The following is a 26,093-nucleotide window of genomic DNA, read 5'->3' on the forward strand; positions in this document are numbered from 1 at the left end:
TAGCCAATATTTATCTCTATGAATGAATGTCACACTTCAACTGTAAAATAAAATTGCACCTGATGTAAACAGGCAAAGAAGACTTTGTTCAAGACTATTACAATAAGCGTCAAAACCATTACAATAGGGGAGAGAGATTGAATTCAGCTCTGATAAAGCAAAAGGCAGGAGAATTGTTTAGTACTTGGCTAAGCTAGTGGAAAACTAATGGTGGATGTTTGGAGAGACTTTAATCTATATGATTAGGTCATCTGTGTTTGGTAATTGGCACTTAATCAGGTCAAAGTTAGGCCCCTACCCTCCCACAAAGATTGGGAGATAGAGGCATTATTTTTCTTGATAATTGTATTTCAAAAGAATGGCTATCAGGTCCTTGAGAAAGATATTTATGAATTGCAAGATTGACAAGAGACTGGGAGAAGATTTACATCTTGAAGGGGCAGAGGAAGAATTTAAAAGTAAGGCAAGTTTTCTAAAGTAAATAAGAAAAGGGAGATTAAGAGCCAATAGCTAGGAATAAACCTGTCTAAAATGTAGTTAAGCTGAGGGCAACATTAGGTCTCTCATTTTCTCATTTTCTCCCACTCTCTCCCTCCAAAATTAATACAGGAGAACTAAGAAACCAAGTTACATGAAGTAAGATTTAAGTGTGAGAAAAGCTCTCATCATTTAGAGAAGGGGCACCAGAAGTGAAACATGTATAGAGTAAAGTGTGAGAAAAGCTTTCATCATTTAGAGAAAGGGCACCCAGAAGAGAAACATGTATCAGGGTCATAGGAGAATCTTCACTTCACCTCTGTGAACAAGGGATTGCTACAATAAGAAGTTCTTAGTGTTTCCATGGCAGGGGCATGAGCTAGCATTAGTAGATGTGTTAGTATATTCCAAGTGCTTTGGTACTCTTGTTCCACGTGGACGTGTCTTAGGTAAATGCTCTTCTGAGACCAGAAAAAAAAAAAAGAAATTTGGGGGGGTGTTGATGGATGTGTTCATTATCTTGGCTGGGATGATGGTTTCACAGATGTATAAATAGGTGTCATTAAATTATCCACTTTAAACATGTGTGATTTATTGTAAATTAATATTTTCAATAAAGCTATAAACAAAGAAAAAATAAAAAAAAAGTTTATTGCTCTTCCCTTGCTCGTTTTAGGTCCTTCCAAGGAAGCATCTGACAAAACCACTGCTCCTGGACCTCCTACCACAGGTAAGTCAGATACTAATAAATGCATTTGTCTTGGTGGCACCTCAGAAGACAGGATAGCTTATCTGCAGTTCTCACAGAAGTAGAGAGTAGGATGATGGTTACCAGTGGTTGGGGTAGTTGTATATGTGGGGAGGGGTATGGTGGGGAAATGTTGGTGAAAGGATACAAAATTTCATATAGACAGGAGGAAAAATTCAAGAGCTCTATTGCACAAGATCATGACTATAGTTAATAATATATTCTTGAAAAATGCTAAGAGGGTGGCATAATGTAATTCTTCAGAACATCATGTACAAAATACATAGTTTTATCTCTCCATCTAAAACATGAAGAATAAAAAATTATTTTTAAATGAAGTTAAGCTGTAGCTCCTCTAGTCCCCTGTACTCACCACTTTTGTTCCTTTTTAAGCAGTCACTGCTTCCACAGGAGTCAAAGAAACTTCTGAAACTGGAGTGCAAACAGGTGAGTATTCAGTGTGGCTTTGATTATACATAAGAAGTTGAGTTAGGAGGAGAGGGGTAGGAGAGAAGTGAAAGACTGAGGCCAGGATGATGGCATTCAACTTCGTTTTGGAACACAACTTCAAAATTCCACTAGGGATACCTTTTTTTTTTCCTCTGGGAGTTTTTGGTTCAGGCTTTTGCTGGGGCTCCCCTCCTAAAGACTCCTTCGTGCAGACTGAGAATTCTGAGCAGAGAATTATGAAGGGTGCTAGTCCTAAAATGTCTTATATTTCCTTTTGCAAGGCTCCACCTTGGTTACAGCTGGAGTGCCAACAAGACCACAAGTATCCCAGCCAGGTAAAATCAAATGACCGAAATGAACTGGAATAAATTGTCTGTTCCACCCAAAGCTTTCCTTGAGTATGAATTTGTGCCATCATTTGGGCATGTACATAAACACAGACTTGATATGTGTAGGTTATTCTAATTTTTAAAATCACAATACCATCCATTTATGTCCTCTCAGAAACCACTGTCGTGGCAACCAGAGAAGTAGAAACCGAAAATAAAACAGGTCAGTATAGGAAAAGCCCTAATTTCTTTGTTACTATTTCAACTAATATTTCTTTAGTACCTTATGTGTGCTAGACTCTCTAGCAGACATTAAAAGCAAAAACATCAGCAAGATGCAGCACTTGCCATTTTTTATTCTGTGTGTGTGGGAGGAAGAGATTATTTTGGGCACAGATAGTATATATTTAGTGATACCCAAAAATATGCACAAAAAATGTGGTCCGGGGGGTGGAGTGAGAGTAGTGCTAATTTCTGCTTATTAATTGGTAGTGTGGAGTGAAGACATGAGAAATGGCATGATTGAGTTTAAAATTGGCATGGATGGGGAGGGTATTCCTGCCAAACAGCCCTGGAAAAGATAAAGATATGAGACCTCATGGGGGAAGTTCAGGAATCAACCAAATGTTGGCAATAACTAAATGAGCTTCAGGGAGGTAATGAGATTGGAAACGTAAGTAGAGAAAAGTTCATAAAGAACCAAACTTCAACAAGACTATCCTTGTAGTAATGGGGTACCCTTAAGGATTTGATCAACAGCCTGACATGATCAGATAGTTGAGAAATTACTCTGATGCCAATGTAATGATTAGGAGACTGTTCTCTATGGCTCCTCTTGCAAATATCTCCAATGAACGCTTGCAAACACTGGTCAGGGAATATTTTCTCTTGTATTTATGCCTAATTGATCTTCTTTCTCTCCTGTTGCTGGTTTCTGTTAATTTGCTAAGCATCCATAATTAGCACCTGGCTTAGCCTCCCTACGTAGAGTTGGAGACATTTGATTACCCAAATTTCCATACCTTTAATTCATTTTGTAATCTATATTTTGGGCCTATTAGTTGTTGGGATCACTTTACCTAAACATGTAGAAATTTTGAGTTCTTTTCAAATATTGTGTTGCTCCTAGGTCAGCCTTTTTCTTGGTAGGTTGATATACATATACACACACACACATATGTATACATATATGTGTGTATATGTGTGTATATATATATATACACACATATATATATATCAACCTACCAAGAAAAACCTACCAAGAAAAACATATATATATTTAAACAGAGTCTTGCTCTGCTGCCCAGGCTGGAGTGCAATGGCACTGTCTCGGCTCACTGCAAGCTCTGCCTCTTGGGTTCAAGCAATTCTCCTGCCTCAGCCTCCCTAGTAGCTGGGACTGCAGGCAGGCACCACCATGCCCGTCTAATTTTTGTATTTTTTGTAGAGACGAGGTTTCACCATGTTGGCCAGGCTGGTCTCAAACTCCTGGCCTTAAGTGATCTGCCCACCTTGGCCTCCCAAAGTGCTGCAATTTACAGGCGTGAGCCACTGCATCTGACCAGATTGAATACAATATTCATTTTGTTTTTAGAAGTTTTGGAAAAGAATTTGAAATTTATGAGGGAATTGTTCGATTGACCAAAATATGTGACGTGTAAAGGCTAAAAAAGATACATATTTCCAGTTTAAAGCATTTGTTGGGGGAGAAGTTAGAGCAAAATTGAAGTATTTCAAGAAGATAAGGAGAATAAAAGTTTTTAAATGACTAAAACTGGGTAATTAATAATACTCATTTTATACTGTAGCAGAATTATTTTTTTCCCTTTTTAAATCTCTTTTATTGTTCTATTCATTAGATCTGCCTTCAAAAAATTTTTGAAGAGTTTACCTTGATGTTTTCTCCTTTTGATACTTATATTTTTCTCTCATTAAAATGTGAGGTCCAAAGGAAGCACTGTACAGTGGAATTTCAAATGCAGCGAGGAGCAGGAAGGGGGGATAGATGGGAATATATCTATTTGTAAGACTAGCTATGTAGACAATTATTTTCAGCAATAGAATAATGAATTAGATAACTATACTTGCCCCAATACTATTCCAGTAACTTCAGAGACTAACTTAAGGTTCCTGTTTTTACACAGAATGTCTAGCCTCACTTCCACCAGCTCCAGGTAATAATTCCACGACTTCAGAATTGTTCCACATTAATGGTTCCTCTTGTCAATCAAATTTCAGAGGTCACGCTAATAAAAGTCACTAGCCATGGAAATGTTATAAAATAGCAAAACATGTATTGGATTAACTTAGCTTTTATTCACCAAATAGTGAGTAATAGTTCATTTCCTCCTTCACAAACCAATGAAGCCAAACCAAACAAATATACCTTGTTACTTAGATCAAAGCAAGGTTTACCTACTAAATGTTTCATATAATTATGATACCTTAACCAAAATATTATCACTTGATAGTGAGCATCTTTTTAAACTAGATAATTCCAACTTGAGGGATGAGCTGTAGTAGAAAAAAAAATCCATTTAGCCAGAGATAAGTAATTTTAGAGAACTTTCAGTCCCTACCATTCTCAAGACAATGTGGTGTGCTTTGCAGTGAGCAAAAAAAAATTACTAAAAAATAATTCTCTGACCATAGTACATAGTGGGAGAAGGAAGGTCTTCAAAGACATAGGCAATTTTCATATCAGGCAGAAAATAAATTTCCAAGTAAAAGTATAAACTATGTATTATATATAGAGTGCATATTGTATGTCACTTGTATATTTTAAGGTATCCCCAAGAATTTCTTTTTTTAAATTTTATTATTATTATACTTTAAGTTTTAGGGTACATGTGCACTATGTGCAGGTTTGTTACATATGTATACATGTGCCATGTTGGTGTGCTGCACCCATTAACTCGTCATTTAGCATTAGGTATATCTAGGAATTTCTTTACAGTATTGGAATTGGAGAACACAAATAGACCAGTCCAGGGCATGTAAATGAGAGAAGTGAGACAAAGTTGAGAAGGTCAGTTTGAGTCACAATATGAGAGACCTCAAAAGCTAGAATGCTAGAATAAACTGTTTGTTTTACACAACTATAAGGGGCCATCAAAGTAGTAAATGAGATGAGAATTAGGCTTTAGAAAAATTACATTACCTCATTGGATCAGAAAGAGATATGAGTCAGAATAACTCCCTTAAAAAAGCCAGTAGAGTATGCTAGATCAAAACTTTAATAAGATCTTGGAGTGGCATTTTAGCAAGTAGAATAAGGAAAGGAAGAAATGAATGTGAGTGTAAAGATACAGGATTTGGCAGTAGATTTGACGCCAGTGCTAGAAGGAAGAAATCAAATGGCTCCTTGATTTTAAGCTTGAATGATTGAAAGTATAGTTCTATCCTTAGAGAAGGAAGCCAATCTAGAAGAGAAGCTGGTTTTGGGGGGAAGATGATAAAATATGTTGTGTGCACATCAAGTTTTGGGTTTCTATAGGTCTGCCAGGATTCTGTCTATAGGTTGAGAGAGAACTGGCTCCAAAGCTATGAGAGAGGTCTGGGCTGGAGCTGGGCATTTTAGAGCCATTCTTTTGATGTTATGGTGCACATTGTGGAGACAGAAGAAAGAATTAGAGCCAAAATGAGAGGCAGTAAGACAAACTGCCAGTGAAGACAAAAATTTCAGAGCATTAAATCTGAAGAAAGGAGAGCATTTTTCAAGAAGGTAAGAATGAAAAATGTCAACTATGGCACAGAAAAACTGAGAAAGGGCCCTTGGGTCTGGTAATTATGAAGCCATGGTGACTTGTAGGATTGGAAAAGCGGAAGTCAGACTGCAAAACAGTAAGTCAGTTAGTAGCCATAAGATTGATTGACCACTGCCTGGAGAAATTAAGAATTATCCTTTGCGGAGGATTGTAAAAATAGGATATGCCTGTTGGGAACAGTTTGCTTGAAGCAGGTGGACGTGATTTTATTCACCTTAAGGCAACATAAAATCTTCTATAATTCAGTCACTCTGAAATCCTAATGCCAATTACAGTACTGGCCACCTGGTGGTTATCTATAAATAACAGATGGTTATATTTTGCCAAATTTAATTACCATTTATCATTTATGTCAACGGTTTGTCACGGTCCATTGGGAGAAGAGAAATCTGTAAGTACACAGTTTTGCTCTACTTTAATCCAAATTTGCTCTCATTCCTGTATTTGAATAGAAGTCTAAACTTGGTTTGTTTATGTAGCCTGGAGACATATGGACTGCCAATTGCCACAGAGGTACCTGTACTGATGCAAAGACTATAGACTGTAAACCTGAGGAGTGCCCTTCTCCACCCACATGCAAAACCGGCGAGAAGCTTGTGAAGTTCCAATCTAATGACACCTGCTGTGAAATCGGATACTGTGGTGTGTATTTTAATTGAATATGTTTGTTGGTTTTTTATTCACATATTCAAGAGATACTTTTTGAGCTACCAATTTTGTCGAACATAATACTAGGCAGGTGTAATAAATAATACAGAATTAGTATAATAATATTTGCATTCTTAAATCTTACCATCTTCAGAATGGGGGTTACCCAGAATTAAATTATGAATATAATCAGTAGATTAAAGGAACACTATGCTATTATGGGTAGAAACATAGTTGGTTTCTATGTATGATCTCATCTACAATTTCTGTTTTATAAATAGAAATTATAGTATTTTAGAATAAAACAATATGTTTATTTTTCAGAACCAAGAACATGTTTATTTAACAATACTGACTATGAGGTAAGGTCTTTTCTTCATTAAAATGTTTTTGTTAATTATAAGAATAAATTTAATGCTGGGCTACATTAAGGGACTTTCAGCCTATTTTATATATGTAATATACATAAGTATATATATTATATACATAAGAAATTATATAATAAATAAATATATATGTATGTATATATATATATTTTAACCCTAGTAACAATGGATTGGAATCCGTTCATTTTTTTCCCCACCCCCACTTCCAAAGGAACATCAAATGTAACACTCACCATGACTCTGCAAAGGAGGAAAACATAGTACTTGATCATTAACTACTCAGCAGTAGAGCTTCTGAACAAAATTTCCCAAGGGCCTTGCCAGATGGAGAAGACATACTTTGTAACATTCAAATCAATGAATAGAGTCAAACTGTAATTATAACCAGAAAGATCAGATGGTCAAGCTGTCAGAGATCAAATAAGAAAACCCAAAGGGCTAGAACCCTATTATGCAGCTACAGCAACACAATACATTCAAGGCTGGATTTTGACAACGAATTTGACATTTTGGACAGTAATTTAACTTTTTAGAAAAAAGTATAAGGAAGCCGTAAAAATCAGATGATTCTCAAATTGATATTAACACACTTGAAATGTGATAGTAAATATTAAAAAATCTAAAGTGAAATATATGTGGTATATTAAGAAATAGATAAAACAGCCTATGAGAGTTTTACTTGGATAACCCATTTATCACACTCAAATTTCCACCTGGACTTCTTAATTTTTAGTTTCCAAAGTTGATCTGACTTGAACCTGTGATAGTTTTTAAACACAAAATATGATGATATTTAAGGAACAAAAGGAAAGCTTTCTTCTGATCATTTAATAATAAAATTCCAATTTATCAGAAAGTTCATCTTGTCTGAGGCTGTGAAATAAATGCAGTTTCTCTAACTGTTGTTTGAATATTTAACATAAGCTAATTATAAAGTAACACCAGAGAACTTTAAAAGTATAGGAATATAGGCCAAGAGAAAAGTAAGACATCTTGTGAGACTTGTCATTTGTTTTAATATGATAAGCCTATTTTGTGCCATTTTTTCCCCACTTAAATTTCTTGTTTCCCCTTAAGCTTAGAACATAACAATTGATTAACTGCTTGATCACTATAAAAAACCTGTCTTGAAAATTTCTTGAAAATATAATAGAGTAACTGTTGGTGAATCTTAATTTGAGGATTGAGAATCTTGACACACTCTGTGCTCTCAATGAACAAATTTGGTTTATTCATGGAAGTGGAAGACTTTCAAACCATCTTTTCTTTTTTACTACTAACCTAATGACAAAGTGCCTCTGGAAAATCACTAAACATGAATTTGAATTTTTAAACTGATGTTCTTGCCAACCTCTAAAAGAAATCAAGGTGAATAATTATTTTGTTTTCTTCCCCCTCTTTTCCTCCCAGATTGGTGCTTCATTCGATGACCCCAGCAACCCCTGTGTCTCCTACTCCTGCAAAGACACGGGCTTTGCTGCAGTAGTCCAGGACTGCCCAAAGCAAACCTGGTGTGCAGAAGCAAGTCATCTTAACTAATGAACGCCGAGATTCAGTTCTCATATTAAACAAACCCTGGCCGGGCGCGGTGGCTCAGGCCTGTAATCCCAGCACTGTGGGAGGCCGAGGCGGGCGGATCACCTGAGGTCAGGAGTTCGAGACTAGCCTGGGAAATATGGTGAAACCCCGTCTCTACTAAATATATAAAAATTAGCTGGGCATGGTAGCAGGTGCCTGTAATCCCAGCTACTCAGGAGGCTGAGGCAGGAGAATCACTTGGGCCCAGGAGGCGGAGGTAGCAGTTAGCCAAGATTGTGCCGTTGCACTCCAGCCTGGGGGACAACAGTGAGACTTCATCTAAAAAAAAAAAAAAAAAAAAGAAAAAAAAAATCAACCTGTCTTCTATCTCATTAGAAAATGTTTGTGTCTGGCTAGCAGACATAAATATCTTGTAGGTTGTATAGCTCTTTAAACAAATTCATCATATCCAGAGCCCAGATGATTCCAGACATGCTCATGTTTTATTGTTAAGTATAAATTATTTTCATATCAAGAAAGGCTCTCATGTTTTACAGGCTTTATAAAACTTAATTTAGTGCTAATCTAGAAGAAGTAAGTTATTATAGAAAGCATTTTGCTATTTTGAAACTAAAAAACTCACTAACTTTTAAAAATAGCTCAGTCTATAAGAATACCAATTTTTCTGTATAATCATGTCTGGGTACTTTAGATCTTTCTTTGTGTCACAGTTTTCTCCATTTCTATGCCCCCCAAATATGACTGGGTTTTATATTAATGAATGCTTAAGTTTCAATTATTAAGGGAGGTTTAAGTTATCATTTTTCTTTCTGAAGATATAATTGATAATATGGTTTAAAGTTTTATTTTTGAGCTCTAATACCGGATTTCAATATTTATCATGCTTTCACTTTGTTATAATTTTAAAACTATCAATTTCTCAAAGGTGCTGCTTCTAATTATGTTTCTAATGTATTAGTAGTAATATTATTGTTAAAGTATTTTTCAGTAAATGAGAAATAATTTAATATTATTTAATGTTATCTTTGACAAGAATTTAGTTTAAAGCTTATTTTTCCTTGACTCCTTGTTGAAAAATTTTAGTCACATTTTTATTACTCAGCTGATCTTTCTCCTTTTCTGTCCTTTGCTTACTAGATCTGAGGTAAGATTGTCCATCTGTCCCATTTCCTGTTTGTGATGTGAGGCATTTTAACAAATTAAGAAGTGTTATATTATTTGCAGAAAAATTTGGAATAACGTTTCCAGTCTTTTTTCTTTTTTCTTACCCTTACAGGAAGACAGAATCTATGATTCAAAAAAATGTTGCTATACATGTGAGTAAAGTTAAGTTCTGCATAGAGAGAAATGTAAGCTGTTGACAAAAGTTTAATTTCTTTAAAACAAAATGGCAGATCATTAAGAGAAAGTATCTCGTATTTTTAACACAACAGGTAATCTAGCCTACATGTATAAACTTCCATTTGATATTTGTACATAATGTATTATGGCCACATATTCATGTTGATTGAAACATTCTTCTCAGTAAAAATAATAATGTTTACAAGGGAACAAATGTAATTTTCATGGAAAAGATGAGCTTGTTCTTTTGCATCAGCAAGTTGTGTTGTGAACTGGTGCATTAGATCATAAGGATAATCAGTGATGAGAAAATGGATGTCAAAAATAATTAATCCACCCCTGTTTTTGATGGATATCAAAATAATCCATTCGCCCATGTCTTCCCTTCTCCCTTCCTCTTACTTCTCCCCTCAACCCCTTCACCTGTGATAGTGTGATAGTGATAACAGGAACAACAAGATACCAGTAATCTGAGTATTAACCAGCTACCTTGTAATGATGCTGAGATGGTTAATCACCTCAATAATGTTGTGAAGTAGTTGCTATTATTTATAGGTTAAGAAAATGAAGGATTAGCAATTGTTAATGTTAAACCTCACTTCTGACTCTCTTTTCCATTTCATTTTAGGTAAGAATAATTGCAGATCTTCCCTTGTAAATGTGACTGTTATCTACAGTGGTTGCAAGAAAAGAGTTCAGATGGCAAAATGCACAGGGGAATGTGAAAAGACTGCCAAGTGAGTTCTTTGAATGTGTATCATGTGTAAACTTTGTAACCTTGTGGAGAAAATGGATCTTTTTAAATATTACTCGGAAAAACTTTTATGTGAGAGCAATACTATTCTGTTATCAGGACCAAATGAAAGAAGAATCTAAGATATTAAGATCTGAGAACTAAAATATTCACTTAAAATAGTGATGAGTCATTCTGAAGTAGTTTTCTAAATATACATGATACATTTGTAACAAATTTAGTCATCTCATACAGTGACTACAGAAAATATTTAAGCAAAGAAGTGAATTTCTTGAATTACTTAAACTTGAAATTTAGATAGTATGCTTTTCCTTTATGTACACTTTTATGTATAGATTAATATAGAGATAATAATCTCATATTAAGTTATATTTAAAATTGTATTTAGTTTACTTTTTTGCCATAATGCTCCAGTTATGAGATTATAACTTCCTTTCAGATTTCTTATTTCTCTTGGTCTTGCATACCAAATACCACCGAGCAACATCAGAGCTTTACAGTGACAGGGGGAATGCAAGGTCTAGAAAAAGAATAAATTGGTTACAAGGCTTGCTAAGTCACTTAGACAGTTACAGTTTGAGCACTGATGTCAATTTATTTTTAAAATTCTAAAAATGTTTATTACTGAATTTTTCTTTTAGGTACAATTATGATATCTTACTCTTGGAACATTCATGCCTTTGCTGCCGAGAAGAAAACTATGAACTCAGAGACATTGTACTTGACTGTCCTGATGGCAGTACAATCCCTTACCAATACAAGCATATCACGACCTGCTCTTGTTTAGACATATGCCAACTATATACGACCTTCATGTACAGTTAATGCTGACATCACCTTCCCAGTTTTAACAGGCCTGGTATTTATTTTATAAGTGAGGAAAAATAATCATTTAAAAAGTGAGAATAAACTAAACAATGTGAGAATAACTCAAAACAATGAGTTCTCATTGTGAGGAATTTTGTTCTCTTGTTGACTGGATCTGAAAAATAAACACAACTTGACAAGCAATTCGTGAGCAAGGGTATTTATTTTACGGCAATACGAATTCTGCAAGTCTAGCAGAAACTGGATCATATCATGACTCTTCAATATATTTTCCTTTTATCCTTCAGCTTCTTATGCCCTTCTCCCATTTCATTTCCTTCACTTACTGAAAATGTAGACTTGGTTTCCTTTTCTCACTTCCTGTGCCAGTTGCATCACTCTTCCCATCCTACTACAACTCCTCCTGCTAGGACACCAGTGACCTTCTCTAGCTCTGCCTACAGGGTCTGACAGCATCTCCACTCTTCCTTTCTTGAGACATTTTTCTCCTTGTTTCTATGATATTTCTTTTTTCTTTCTGTGACATCATTTTAAATGTTCCTACATCATGTGGACAGCTTTATTTCTGCCAGTCCTCTGAAGTTTAGTTTTCTAGTCGCATCCTGTTCTGCTTTACATTTTACTCAGTCTTTGGCCAATTTCGTCAATTTAAGTAGATATATTTACACTTTGAGGATTTCCAGTCTGTATCACCACCCTCATCCTCTGAGTCTCAGACACATTGACACAACTTTGAATTTAACATCTCTCACTGGATGCTCTATAGGTACCACAAACTCAGCAAGACCAAAACCAAAATAAATATCTTTCTTTATCTCAGTCCTGTGCATGTATATTGTATACCAGTGAAATAGGTAGCTAAAAAGAGAGGTTAGGCCAAGGCAGGTGGATCAAGAGGTCAAAGAAAACAAGACCATCCTGGCCAACATGGGGAAACCCCATCTCCACTAAAAAAATGCAAAAATTAGCCGGGCATGGTGGCGCGTACCTGTAGTCCCAGCTACTCCGAAGGCTGAGGCAGGAGAATCACTTGAACTGGGAGGCAGAGGTTGCACTGAGCCGAGATCGCGCCACTGAACTCCAGCCTAGTGACAGAGCAAGACTCTGTCTGAAAAAAAAAAAGAAGAGGCTGAGGTTGACTAACATTATGGCTGTCATCTTTAATACATTCTACTGCCTTGCTGTCTCACACACATCCTTCTTCCTGAACATATATATTCAAATGTGCCTTGGATAAATTATTTACACAGGTAAAATGTAAAATGTGTGCAATTATTAACACCCTTATCCCCTTCCCAACATGAAGGCAAACCCAAATTATCATAACCTATTTATGAACAAGTTCTTACTTTTCTGTATCAGTTGGACTAGTGGTAAATTTAACTACCATCAAACACTGTATGTCTAATGGTGGAGAAGAAAATAGATGTGTTAGTATATTGGTAATTGCTACCAAAGGTGGATAACAATTCCTTATGAGTGGGCATTACAGATCTCACTTCTACAGTCAGTTCCAGGGCCTTTGACTTTCCTCTATGTCTGTCACTGGTTCCAGGTTTTCCTTCCTCTCAGTGCATACCAGAGTTCATCATTTCACAAAATTATGAGGAGCTTGAGGCCTTGAAAATCCAAATGGGTGAGGTTGCAGGAGTTTCTTTAATAGCTTTTACCTCAGGAAATAGTAGAGCACAGAGTCAACATTATACCCACATTACAGTCCTTACCATGTGGTAGCAGCTCTATTTTCACCTGACAGTCAGATTTGATCATCCCAGATAATATACTGACAGCATTTTCTGCTTAGTAAGCCTGCTTTAGACTTATGAGAGACCCCAAATGGCTAGCTGGGAGTTTCAGAACAAGGGAGACAAAATGAATATTGATTTCTGGTCCAGCTAATATATTACATCCTGCCAACAGCACACCAACTAATCCCTCAGCTGGTATCAGAGTGGAGTGCTCAGTAGGCTGATCTTTAAGGTTTACCATCTGTGAACAATAAAGCATAATACATTTATTGAGGTATGTATGTACCTTTCTTTTCTTTGATTTGACGCTATATGAACTTTTCTTCACTTGAAAATAAATTCCTTTGGTTAGAAGCATTGCTGCACAGCATTTCATGGCAGTGAATAAAGTATTCAATAAGCCTATAGATAGATGTGCTTGTCTAGGCGTATTAGACACAAAATGAAAATGCCAATCCATACTTGGTTATCTCAGAGAAAATAAATGCTGTCTTCCCACCACCAGAAAAGGATCAAAGTTGTCTCCTTTTTACCAAGTAGCTGAGTGACGTGATACTATGAAAATGGAAGATCACTGTCTTCCATTTATTTAACAAAACCATGATCATTAGCATGGTGGTATGCCAAGTGGCTTCAGTGGAGGGAATTTAGGCTGCTGAACCCCTGTATGACCCTTATTTCTGCTACAATTGCTACCTTCTTCTTTAAGCATTCACTTATGTTCAGGTATGGATCTGTTCTGAATTATTCATACAATTCCCCCAACCCTTCTTGTCATTCTCCATTTTTTCTCCCCTCAAGTCCTGGGCTATCTATACAAATTATTTGCTGTATCTGCAAAATTAGTGTGAATCCTCAATTCAGGCCAACCTTCTGCCAAGCACAGTGGCTATAGAGAATTTTCCTTTACAGTTGTTGTTCACAGCACTCCTAAGATAGTCTCACTTTTCACTGACACTGGGTCTATAGGCAATCTAGCTTTGAGTCTTTTCATCCTGTGTTAAATGATTATAAGCAATTCCTCCTCTAAGCAAAAGGCATTAATTCAGAGAAATGTGGCAGCCAGATAATAGCGCATTATGGGCCTTAAGAAATTATTGCATGGATCTGACTTTCTGACTTGTGCCTTTGAGACCTGAATGGACTCTATTCTGTATATATGACTTTGCCTTGATGATGGATTGCTGCTGAGAATGCCCAAATCCATGGCAACGTAGAAAAGCTAATGTCCCCTCCAGGATGAGGGGCTTTGGTTCACGGTCACCTGTTATTTTAGTATTGACAGAAAGCTAGTATTTGCTGAAAATAGAAAAACTGCCTCAGGAGGTAGTGTGGTCTTGCTCTCAAAGCTCTGAAGCTGCTATTGCTATGACCATTTTACGACTTGTCATTGGCCCCTCCACTAGGTTTTACTTTTCTGTTATAGATTCTTCTAGAACCATTGGATCAACACAGATTATGAGTTGAACATTGAGGTAGCTTTTACCGAAAACTTGATAATCTGAACTGATCTTATATTTTGTCTGAGTCCCTCTAGAGTTATCAGGTCTTAGGTCATCCAGTGAGTAGACCTAAGAAAGACATTTATATCCATATAGGTTTCTTGATTTTTCTAAAATCCAATGGGTCTATTTCCTAGTGTAGGTGAACAAAGTGTGAGAGAGTGTCCTTCACTTCAATGATGAGGACCCACTATCTTCATATTACTAAGATTTAAGCTGATTACAGAAAAAGCCAAAATAACAGTAACTTTAAAAAGATAGAAATGTATTTCTCTCTCATACACAAAACTGGGTAGGTGACCTAGAGAGGCATGGCTGTGCCTAGTCTCTTTGGTCTTATTGCAGAATGAACTGTCCAGCTTCCATCTTGTTGGCCCACAATGGTTCCCACTAGTCGCTACCATCTCAATCTTATTCCAATCAGCAGGAAAGTAGAATGGGAGAGGAGAGTGTGTGTTCCTCCTCTTCTGAGGCCACACATACTTCCACTAACATCCCTTTGGCCAGAATGAGAGACACAACCGTCTGGAACCACAACCAATGCTTCCAAAATGAGGGTCTATAGGCTGTCTATAGAGTAATCATTGGGGATCTTTATAAAAATACAGGTTTATGAATTTCATCCTGAGAAGTCCCGTTCAGTAGATCAGAAAGCAGGTAGCTAAATCAATTTTTGCAAATAAAATTCTAGGGGCCATATTGTTCCATTTAGTAATGGAAACATCCAGAAAAACAGCTACAATTTGAGTCATCACCAGACTAAGTTTATTGTGAAGGATATGGTGATGCACTGCTCAGATTCACCTTCAGAAAAACAGGGCTTATTCCACAGCTGCTGAGAGTGCTGCCAGAAGACTGCTTTCAGCTGTCAGCCTCCTTAGGGGTTTGCCTCAGCTAAAGACAGCCACATCCCCCACTGATATGTCCACCTTCTGGAGAAAAGAGGGGCGTGAAGTGAAAGGCAGAGGAAAGTAGAAAGGCTCAGAGCTCTCTCCCCAACTTGGTCTATGAATTCTTTACTCAGAAAGTTGCTGAGGCTTTCATTGAAGATGCACAATGTCTTGACTCCCAATCTTGCTTCCTTCCTTCTCTTCCACAAATCTGGATTCCAAGAACACTTTATAACAAACCTGCTGCATGTAAATCTCCATCTTAGAATCTGCTCCTAGGCAGCACAACCTGTGCCACTTACAGGAATTAAACATCATTCTCTAGAGCCCATCAATTATTTGTAGCATTCAAGTCTGAGAATTTAATGGGGAAGGATACAGAAAGCAGCCTACCTATGTCTTTCAAGTCTTTGATGGTGGCTTTGAAAAGAACTAAATGGATGAGGCCTCCTCTACTACCCTATTTCTCATTCCCTTCCCCCTTCCATTGTACAAATAAAAAACATATGCTTTCCTATATGCCAATGAGACTATTTTAATAGCCTCAAGACAACTGGTCCTACTGTAAAATTAATGACAAGGAGTAAATTTGATTACTGACACTCAAAATATAGAACTATAATTTTGTCAGAACACCTTGAAAACTCAATATTTCTGACTATTCTATCTTTTTCTCTGCCTATAATCCATCCCCCATATACTAGTCACTCTCTTTTCATCATCTGCCTTTCTACAGGTGGTAGTCCTATATATACTTTTAATTACAGTTATTGTTAACATTTATTTGTTCTTTATTATCCCTTTTAATGTAAGTTTTTGGAGGGCAAGAAGTTTGTATCTCTATCCCACAGCTCTGCCTCTAATACCTAGAAGAGGATGTGGCATAGAGTAGGTAATCAATAAACATTTGTTGATATTTGAGTGAAAAAAATCTAACAAAGGCAGCCAGTTAAACAATTCAGTTACTTATCTAGGAATATATTCATCAAGTAATTTTTTGCAATGAAATTGCAGGTTCTTGTCAGTAATTAAAATTAATTATATCTAATTAATTATTGTCAAAAACTCTGTTTTGAGAAAACTATTCATGGAAAATTGTCTGCATTCAGTCTGGCCATTCTTCATATACTAAATTATATCCTTGGAGTAAATAAATGAGAAGGTGACATCTCCTAGTGTATGACTTCTCACTAGAGATATGGAATGCAGAGCAGTTAAATACACAGGCTGTGGAGCCAGATTATCTTGGTGCAAATATTGGTTCCCCCCACCTAATGCTATATAACTTAGCCTTATTTCACAAAATAACATCTTTACTGAGGTGTAACTCATACCATAAAATTCATCCTCTTAAAATGTGCAATTCAGTGAGTGTTAGCATATTCACAAGGTTGTGCAACCCTCACTTCTATATAATTCCAGAATATTTCATCATTCCAAAAATAAACCCAATACTGATTAGCAGGCACTCCCCATCCTCCCACACCTCCAAGTCCCTGGCAAACACTAAACTACACTCTATTTCTACAGATTTGCCAATTCTAGACATTTTATATAAATGGAACCATACAATATGTGACCTTTTGTGCCTGGCTTCTTCCACTTAGCATAATGTTTCCCAGGTTCATCTTTGTTGTAGTATTTATCACTATGTCATTCCTTTATACTGCTAAATAATATTTCATTATTTGGATATACATTTTGTTTATTCATTTATAGATAGTTCATTGTTTCCATATTTTAGCCATTATGAGTAATGCTTGTCTGAAAATTCATGTACAAGTCTTAATGTGGATACATATTTTCAATTCTCCTGGGTATATATCTCACAGTAGAACTGCTGGGTCATATGGTACCTCTATCTTTAACATTTTGAGGAACTGCTGAACTGTTTTCCAAAGTGACTGCACCATTTTACATTCCCATTAGCAATGTTTCTCTACATCCTTACCAATGCTTATTATTGTCTTTTTAAATTATAGTCATTCTAGTAGGTTATTTAACCCTTTTATACCCAATTTTCTTATTTGTAAAACAGAATAAAAATATGTACTTCCGAAGTTTGAGGTTGTATAAACATCTGCTATCATAGTTTTGCAATCTGTGATTATTCTACTTTTCCTCAACCTTGCAAAGCAGCTTATGACAGTTAGATGAACTGATTTGCACACTGCTTACTTTATCTCTACTTAGAGAAATTGACAAAACAGAAATACACATAACATTCTTAAGTATATAGGAAATAACTATTTCATGATAGTAATTCATAAGAATACCTACAATTAGATAGGGGCATTATCATAATCAAGTTTTGTCATAAAGAAATATGTCAAACTTTGGGAATTGAGAAGATGGTAGCAATACAGGTCACCGCAAAGTTTCATTATGCTCTAAATGTGACAGTCTTGCTAATATCACTATTTTAATAACTATCTAAAAATTTTCAATTACTTTTATAATAATTTTATTAGGTCCCTGTAAACTATGTTCCATGGTTCTATTTTCAAAATTGGAGTAATTTGTTTCGGAAATCATTTTTGTTCATTTTATTTCTATTGTTAGGCTGGTTGGTAAATAATTGAGATAGAACTGCCATCTTTCTGGAATTATCAAAAGCCAATTTCTCTTTCACCTATATGTAGGAATCCAAACTTCCCAGTAAGAAAATTCCAAATTTGTTACTGTGTAGGATAAAGGAAGGGACCAACATCGTTCGTTCATTCTCTCTTTTTACCCATGGCATAAAGACACCAGCTAATTCATAGGGTGTTTGTAAGGATTAAATGAGATCCTTGATATTTGGGATTTCCTTAGAAAATGCTAGCTAGTCACACGTAATGAGTTTCATTGCCATTCTTACTGCTTTCCCTGCTTTCCTTATCTGGTCCCTCAGAGACCCTGGCTGGTTCTCCGACTCTCTCTTACCTTCTCCAGTGCTGGAGTTACTTGATGCTGACCTCCAGCTACAGTCCTGCATCACCAGGGTCAGTTCCTCCTCTAGCATCAGCTCCCACCCAACTTTCTACAAAATTGTTGCCAGTTTGGCATTGACTTTGTGCCTCAACTCTGATAGCTGAACATTCATCTTGTTCCTGAAATCCAGACTCATTTTGTTTTCCAATTTTGGTGACTGGCCAAGAAAGAGGTTCAGGCTCTAGGAAAATAGAACCTCTGAGAACCTGAACCTCTTTCTTGGCTCTATTTTTCTAGAGCCTGAACCTAATTTTTGGCCGCTTGCCAAATAGCACCATCTCAGAGAGTTGGCCTTACTATTTTGTTATTTCCCTTCATCTTCCCCTTCCTCCTCCTTCTTTTCTCCCCTCCACTTCACTCTCTGAGTCTTGGATTCTGCTATTTGGAAACACTCTTCTTCTCTCCTACCTGTAGTGTGCCTTGATTTCCCAACATATTTTGGCTCAGGTAATTTTGTTAAACTAGCATGTGACTTAGGCAATACTTCCCTCAAAAGAATTCTATTGTCCTGGGCCATAACTCCCCCACTATACAATGTTCAAGAAATGCCTTTGCTATTATAGATTATTGAAGGTAATTGAAAGAGTTGTCCAGCCATATTGTTTGATTTGCATGGGGCTCAGGAGTCTTGTGACAAAGAATATAAGCCTGTCCATAAGGGCTTCAGGCATAAATAGACTTATTTTCTTTGTAGGTTAGAATTACATTTAACTATATTTGAGATTGATGCCAGAATCTTCATGAAGCATCAACTATTTCTTTTATGAGGGTCATGAGAGAGCTACATACTTAAGGAAAAAATGAGAGTGGGATACAAGCTGCCCTGATACTGTTAGCCAGGCTTGTCCCGGTGGCATGTATAAAATATTCCCTTCTCTTTGGATGGTAATAGAGGTCAGATAAGGAAACAAAGTGTTCTCCTGTCTTCCCAATACCCTGTATTTGAACCTATTTCAGTGAACTTAATACCAAGTCTATGATCAATTATTGTATGGCTGTCACAGAAAAGAAATAAATGGAGTGTCAGTGAAATACTGCCTGCATGTTTGTGTAGCTATTGCTCTTGTGTTTTTCGTTATGCCTATGTATCCACCTGCTTCTAATAATGAAATGAGCATTCTAGTTGTCTTGACACACTTTGTAATTGGAAAGTTATCAAAAGATTTCATTAAAGTTAGCATTACTGTCCCATAATATATTTGGCTAAGAATTCACCTACTGTTCAATTTGGCTTTTCAAATCATGTCCAGTTGTAAAATCCAATCTGCACCAGAGAGTACTATGTAATAGACACTGCATTGATTTCTTTAATAATTATTTACTGAACAGTTACTATTCTAGGCCCTGAAAATACAATGATTCATAAGCAAAGATTCCTTATACAGAGTTTACTTCTAGTTCAGAATAGTAGTACAGTTTACATATAGTTTAGTTTACATACTACTAGTATATATAATAAGTATATACAGTAGTAGTTTACATACAGTGGGAATATAACAGGAAATAAATAAATAGAAGCTCTGAGAAAAATGAAACACATTGCTAAGACAGAACATGAGAGCATGAAGAAGAAGTTACTTAAAACAGACCTGGTGTGGTGGCTCATGTCTGTTATTTTAGCACCTTGGGAGGCCCAGGTGGGAAAATTGCTTGAGCTCAGAAGTTCAAGACCAGTCTGGGCAACACAGTGAGACCTCATGTCTACTAAAAATAAAGAAAATTAGCCAAGTATATGGCACACACCTGAAGTCCCAGCTACTTGGGAGGCTGAGGTGGGAGGATTGCTTGAGCTTAGGGGTTTGAGGCTGTAATGAGCCATGATCAGGCCATTGCACTCCAGCCTGAGGGACAAAACAAGACCCTGTCTCAAAACAAAAAAAAAAACTACTTAATACTGTGTTCTAAATGTATCAGTTAGGCCAGGCTAGGATATGCTGTCATAAAAAAATTAACTCCAAAATCATAGTGGCTTATAACAAACTTTTCTCACTCATGCAAAGTCTACTATGAGTTTTGTAAACTCTCCAAGTCAGTAGTCCTCCATGTAATGACTCGGCAATCAAGATCTCTTTAATCTTGTTGACATGTCAATATGAGACCAGCCCAGTTGTGATGGAAAGAAAGAGAGATTAGAATATTCCCAATGACTCAACCCAGAAATGACACATTTTATTTCTGCTCACAGTCTAGTAACCAGAGCTGATCCAATGTCCTTGTAATTTTGCAGCAGAGTTTGGACATATGATAATCCATGTGCCTAGCAAAAAGGTGTGTGCTAGTGATAGCAACAGGAGACAGACAAATTCCTAGGCAGACAGAAATGGATCTCCGGTGAAACCCAACCTTCAAGTGAAGGGCAGCTGAAAGCCTGAAAACCAAATGGCCAGCTCTAGATAGAATCCACAACTGAAGTGAGAACTTCCTCGTCTTACCTACTCCCTCTCAACTGGTTCCTTCTGAATGATGCCTTTTAACCAATCAACTAGTGCCTTTTCCAAGACCATCCATGGAAGAACCAGCACCCAATTCCCTATTGTAAGCCCATAAAAGCCCCAGACTCAGGCTCACAGACAGGTATTCACGTCAGGTCCACTCTCACTGTTGAGAGCTTTTCTTTCACTCAATAAAATTCTATTCTGCTTTATTCATTCTACAGTATCCACATACCTCATTCCTCTTGGTTGCGGGGCAAAAACCTGGAACTCGCCAAATGGTGGGAGTGAAAGAGCTGTAATGCTACTGCCTGCCAAGCTGCAGATAGCAGGAATAAATTAACTGTAACCATCTTGCCAAACAACAGGAGGGAAGAAGCCACTGGGTGCCACTGTCTCCTGCTTGCTGACATATGGGATTGAAAAAGGCACTGGGCACCACACAGGCCCACTTGCCAAGCTATGGGAGTGAAGAAACTGCTGTGTGCCACTTCCCTCCCCTTGCTGAAATATGGGAGCAAAAAACCACAATACTAGTGATATGTACCCCACCTCGGAAGTTCTCCCTGATGCTTGAATAATAAGAAAAAGGCAGACATTTGAAGATAAATGTGATAAACAGTGCAGGTAGAAGAAGTTAGAGTAAGTGCATTAGTCTGTTCTCATGCTACTATAAAGAAATACTTGAGACTGGGTAATTTACATAGGAAATAGGTTTAATTGACCCACAGTTCTGCCTTGCTGGGGAGGACTCAGGAAATTTACAATCATGGCAGAAGGCCAAAGAGAAGCAGGCACCTTCTTCACAAGGTGGCAAGACAGAATGAGTGCAAGCAGGGGAAATGCCTGATACACATAAAACCATCAGATCTTGTGAGATTCACTCACTATCACGAGAACAGTATGGGGAAAACCACCCCCATGATCTGATTACCTCCACCTGGTTCTGTGCATGACATGTGAAAATTACATTTCAAGATCAAATTTTGGGTGGGACACAGCCAAACCATATCATTCCATCCCTGGCCCCTCTCAAATCTCATGTCCTCACATTTCAAAACACAATTATGCCTTTCTAACAGTCCCCCAAACTCTTAGCTTATTCCAGCATTAACCCAAAAGTCCAAGTCCAAAGTCTCATCTGAGACAAGGCAAGTCCCTTTCACCTACAAGCCTTTAAAATTGGAAGCAAGTTAGTTACTTCCTAGATAAAATGGGGTTACAGGCATTGGGTAAATACACCCATTCCAAATGGGAGAAACTGGCCAAAATGAAAGGGCTACAGGCCCCATGCAAGTCTAAGGTCCAGTAGGAAAGTCATTAAAGCTTAAAGCTCCAAAATGATCCCCTTTGGCTCCATGTCTCATATCCAGATCAGGCAGATGCAAGAGTTGGGCACCCATGGTCTTGGGTAGCTCTGCCCCTGTGGCTTTGCAGGGTACAGCCCCCACTTCTGGCTGCTTTCACAGCTGGTGTTGAGTGCCTGTGGCTTTTCCAGGTGCATGGTGTATGCTTCAGTGGATCTACCATTTTGGAGTCTCGAAGATGGTGGCCCTCTTCTCACAGCTCCACTAGACAGTGCCCCATTGGGGACTCTATGTGAGGGCTCCAACCCCACATTACCCTTCCACACTGCCCTAGCAGAGGTTCCCATGAGGGCTTCACCCCCGCAGCAGACTTCTGCCTGGACATCAAGGCATTTCCATACATCCCCTGATATCTAGGCAGAGGTTCTCAACTCTCAGTTCTTAACTTCTGTGCACCCGCAGGCCCAATACCACATGTAAGCCACCAAGGCTTGGAGCTTGCACCCTCTGAAGCCATGGGCCCAGCTATAACTTGGCCCCTTTTAGCCATGGCTAGGATGCAGGGTGCCAAGTCCTGAGGCTGCCCAGATCAGCAGCAGTGCAGCCCTGGGCTTGGCCCATAAAACCATTTTTCCCTCCTAAGCCTCCAGGCCTCTGATGGGAGTGGCTGCTGTGAAGTCTCTGACATACACTGGAGATATTTTCCCCCTTGTCTTGGTGATTAACATTATGCTCCTCATTTCTTTTGTAAATATCTGCAGCAAGCTTGAATTTCTCCCCAGAAAATGGGTTTTTCTTTTCTATTGCATTATCAGGCTGCAAAATTTCCAAACTTTTATGTACTGCTTCCTCTTGAACACTTTGCCACTTCGAAATTTCTTCCACCATATATGCTACATCATCTCTCTTAAGTTCAAAGTTTCACAGATGAAGGGCAGTGGCAAAATGCCACCAGTCTCTTTGCCAAAGCACAGCAAAAGTGACCTTTACTCCAGTTCCCAACAAGTTCCTCATCTCTATCTAAGACCACCGCAGGCTGGACTTCATTGTCCATATAACTATCAGCATTTTGGTCAAAGCCATTCAAGTCTCTAGGAAGTTCCAAACTTTCCCACATATTTCTGTCTTCTTCTGCATCCTCTAAACTGTTGCAACCTCTGCCTGTTACCCAGTTCCAAAGCTACTTTCACATTCTCATTTATCTTATAGCAATGCCCCACTACCTCAGTACCAAATTACTGTATTAGTTCATTCTCACACTGCTATAAAGAAATACACAAGACTGGGTAACTTATAAAGGAAAGAGGTTTAATTGACTTATAGTTCCACATTCCTGGGGAGGCCTCAGGAAACTTATAATCATGGTGTAAGACAAAGGGGAAGCAGGCACCTTCTTCACAGGGTGGCAGGACAGAGTGGGTACAAGCAGGGGAAATGACAGACACTTATAAATCCATCAAATTTCATGAGACTCACTCACTATCATGAGAAAAGTGTGGGAGAACTACCCCTGTGATCTGATTACCTCCACCTGGTCCTGCTCTTGACATGTGGGGATTACAATTCAAGATGAGATTTTTGGTGAGGACACAGCCAAACCGTATCAGTAAGGGTTCTAATGTGGGAACAGAAAGAAGACCAGTGCAATAAGGAAAGAATGATATGTGTTTGTATCAATGAGGAAATCAATGAACTAACCATGTAAGCACAATGTAGCAAGTAGTTCAGTTTTAACGTCACTATGATTAGAAACCATTGAAGCTGTTTACAAAGAGAAGTGACATGTTTTGGTTTATGTTTTTAAAACCACAAACTAACTGATATAAAGATAATTGTTTGTAAGAAGGCAAAAGGAGAAGCAGAGTATTAATGAAAACATCCCTGTGAGAGTAGTGGTTTGGCCATGCATGGTGTGATAGATTGCAAAAAAGGTCACAAATGCCTCTCATCCCTGTATATACCCAAATAAGGCAAATGCCTAGCTGTGGCCAACAGGACAATTTGTTTACTTCTGTGTTCATCCCATAAAAGCCCCACTGCTCACACTGCTGAAGTAGAGCTCACTGAACATTTTCCACTTTTGAGTGCTGCTCAAATAAACTCTGTTAAATTTCTTTAATCTGAAGTTTCTATTTTAACAGTTTCTAGATATCAATATGTTTTTCTAGAAATCGATAAATGGAAAGAATCAAGTGTTTTCACAGTAAATCCTATATGTACAGGTAAGAAACCGAATAGTTGATGAGAGAAATTTCTTTGTAATGGAAACTAACACATGTAGGAGAAATGATAGAATGCAAAAATAGGCATTTTAGACTCCTAGTAAAATAATGGATCTAGGCAATGACCATCAATGGCTGCTTATACCATTGTGTAACAGATTGAGAATGACTTTGTAAAGGCTGACACCTCCTGTTACACTTTTGTAGTATTAATATTACAAGAAATGAAGAAACCAGAAATTATGTTTGGTGATGCAATACTCAGAAACAGCACTAACTATAAACTATTCTTGATATAAGTATTAAACCTGAATCCAATCATGCATCTATATTTAATGACCAATTATAGAAACATTCTAATGATATTGTGAGGATACAGAATCAAAGCAGGAAATAATGACCCAGATTTTTCAGTAACAGAATTATAAAGGAGGAGGAAATGATATATATTAAAAGGGACATAGGAATCAGGAATTAAATGTGTTGTGTAGATGTGGTCTGGGTCCTGATTTGAACACATCAACTACAATAAGACATTTTTGAGACAGAAAAAAATTGAGCATAGATTGTGTATTAAGTGATATGAAGGAACTGATATTAATTACATTGGTATAATGATGCTATTGTGATTATGCTTTCTTTTTTAATCCTTATTTGTTAGATATATTCATTTGCCTATTTAGTAGTAAAATTATTTGCTTTAGAATACTCTAGGACAAAAAGCAGTGATATTCTTGTGTGCTTCTTATGTCATATGCTGGGTGGAATTTGGCAAAGGGATTCTCTAGGGGCAATGTGGTACAAGGGGGATAATGTCAGGCTTTGACTACACAATGACTTGAAATAAGATCACTTATATTTCAGAGAAACACCCAGACTGTGTTTTCTTCTTTTCATAGGAAACTTATACTGGGTTCTCAATATTTCTGTGCACATTCAATATTTCCAACAATTATAGTTACTATCTGAAAACTTTAAGGGATTTAAAGACACAAGATGACAAGAAACAAGTCCATCAACACTGCAGGATATTCACACTCAGTGTGACAACAGCTCACAGGTGAGTAGAGCATCTTACTCTTACTGTTACTATGCCAGTTCCTTGACTGCCCTTCAGCACTGTAGACTGTGCTTTATTGCCCTGATTATGCACTCTTATACATTCACAAGTCAAAGGTTCTTGCATATTTCAATACAAATGAGAGTTATTTTTGGTGCCATCTTCAAAGCTTCGCTGTCTGACATTGCTGTCATAACAGGCATATTCAATTAATTTACATAGAGCAAAAATGGGCAAGCCTACCCATGGAGTTTGAGACATACAGTTTAAGTGCCATAGTAACATTTACTGCACCTATTTTGGTAGGTATTCCCAACGATAGAGCTACTTATATATTTTCTTGATTCCCTTTTCACCAAAATATTGAAGGTAAATAAGCCTGTGACATGGTTGGAGCTCAACAAATTCTTTTGGAATAATCTGTAGGCTATTTCCTTCTAATATCATGATACATTGGATCAAAAAATTCCTTTGGAATAGTCTGTAGGTTATTTATTTTAAAAATCATGATACATTGGAACTTAATGTCCTATGGCACAACATAATTTTGCAAGCACTTTGCATAGAGGAAGTGTTAAGTCTTTGGTTTAGTTATACCAAGATTCTGGTTTTGTGGGTCAAATGGTCAAATTACTACTATCTTAGTTCATTTTGGCTCCTATACCAAAATACCATAGCCTGGATGGATTATT

General features: G+C 37.3%; 1 protein-coding gene across 1 annotated transcript in view, besides 1 other annotated feature; it reads left to right on the forward strand.

The window, feature by feature from the left end:
• The window catches only part of MUC19 (mucin 19, oligomeric (gene/pseudogene)), a gene marked incomplete in the record, with an annotated part of 177,364 nt that extends 165,989 nt beyond the window's left edge, over window positions 1-11,375 (forward strand). Inside the window, 12 exon segments of the mRNA NM_173600.2 lie at window positions 1,154-1,207; window positions 1,622-1,672; window positions 1,957-2,010; window positions 2,180-2,227; window positions 4,149-4,178; window positions 6,131-6,162; window positions 6,251-6,413; window positions 6,744-6,781; window positions 8,216-8,330; window positions 9,625-9,660; window positions 10,314-10,422; window positions 11,081-11,375. Of these exon segments, the coding sequence (NP_775871.2) occupies window positions 1,154-1,207; window positions 1,622-1,672; window positions 1,957-2,010; window positions 2,180-2,227; window positions 4,149-4,178; window positions 6,131-6,162; window positions 6,251-6,413; window positions 6,744-6,781; window positions 8,216-8,330; window positions 9,625-9,660; window positions 10,314-10,422; window positions 11,081-11,264 (914 nt within the window).
• Window positions 6,087-7,286: an enhancer, noted in NCBI's record as "MED14-independent group 3 enhancer chr12:40959271-40960470 (GRCh37/hg19 assembly coordinates)". NCBI's record gives its function as "activates an origin of replication core promoter dependent on BRD2, BRD4, P300/CBP and CDK7 cofactors, and independent of MED14, by STARR-seq in HCT116 cells {active_cell/tissue: HCT116}" and the evidence as "EXISTENCE:reporter gene assay evidence [ECO:0000049][PMID:35650434]".
• Window positions 11,376-26,093: the final 14,718 nt, after the last annotated feature.

Source organism: Homo sapiens, chromosome 12 (genome assembly GCF_000001405.40).
Source record: "Homo sapiens chromosome 12, GRCh38.p14 Primary Assembly".
NCBI classification, from domain to species: Eukaryota; Metazoa; Chordata; class Mammalia; order Primates; family Hominidae; genus Homo; species Homo sapiens.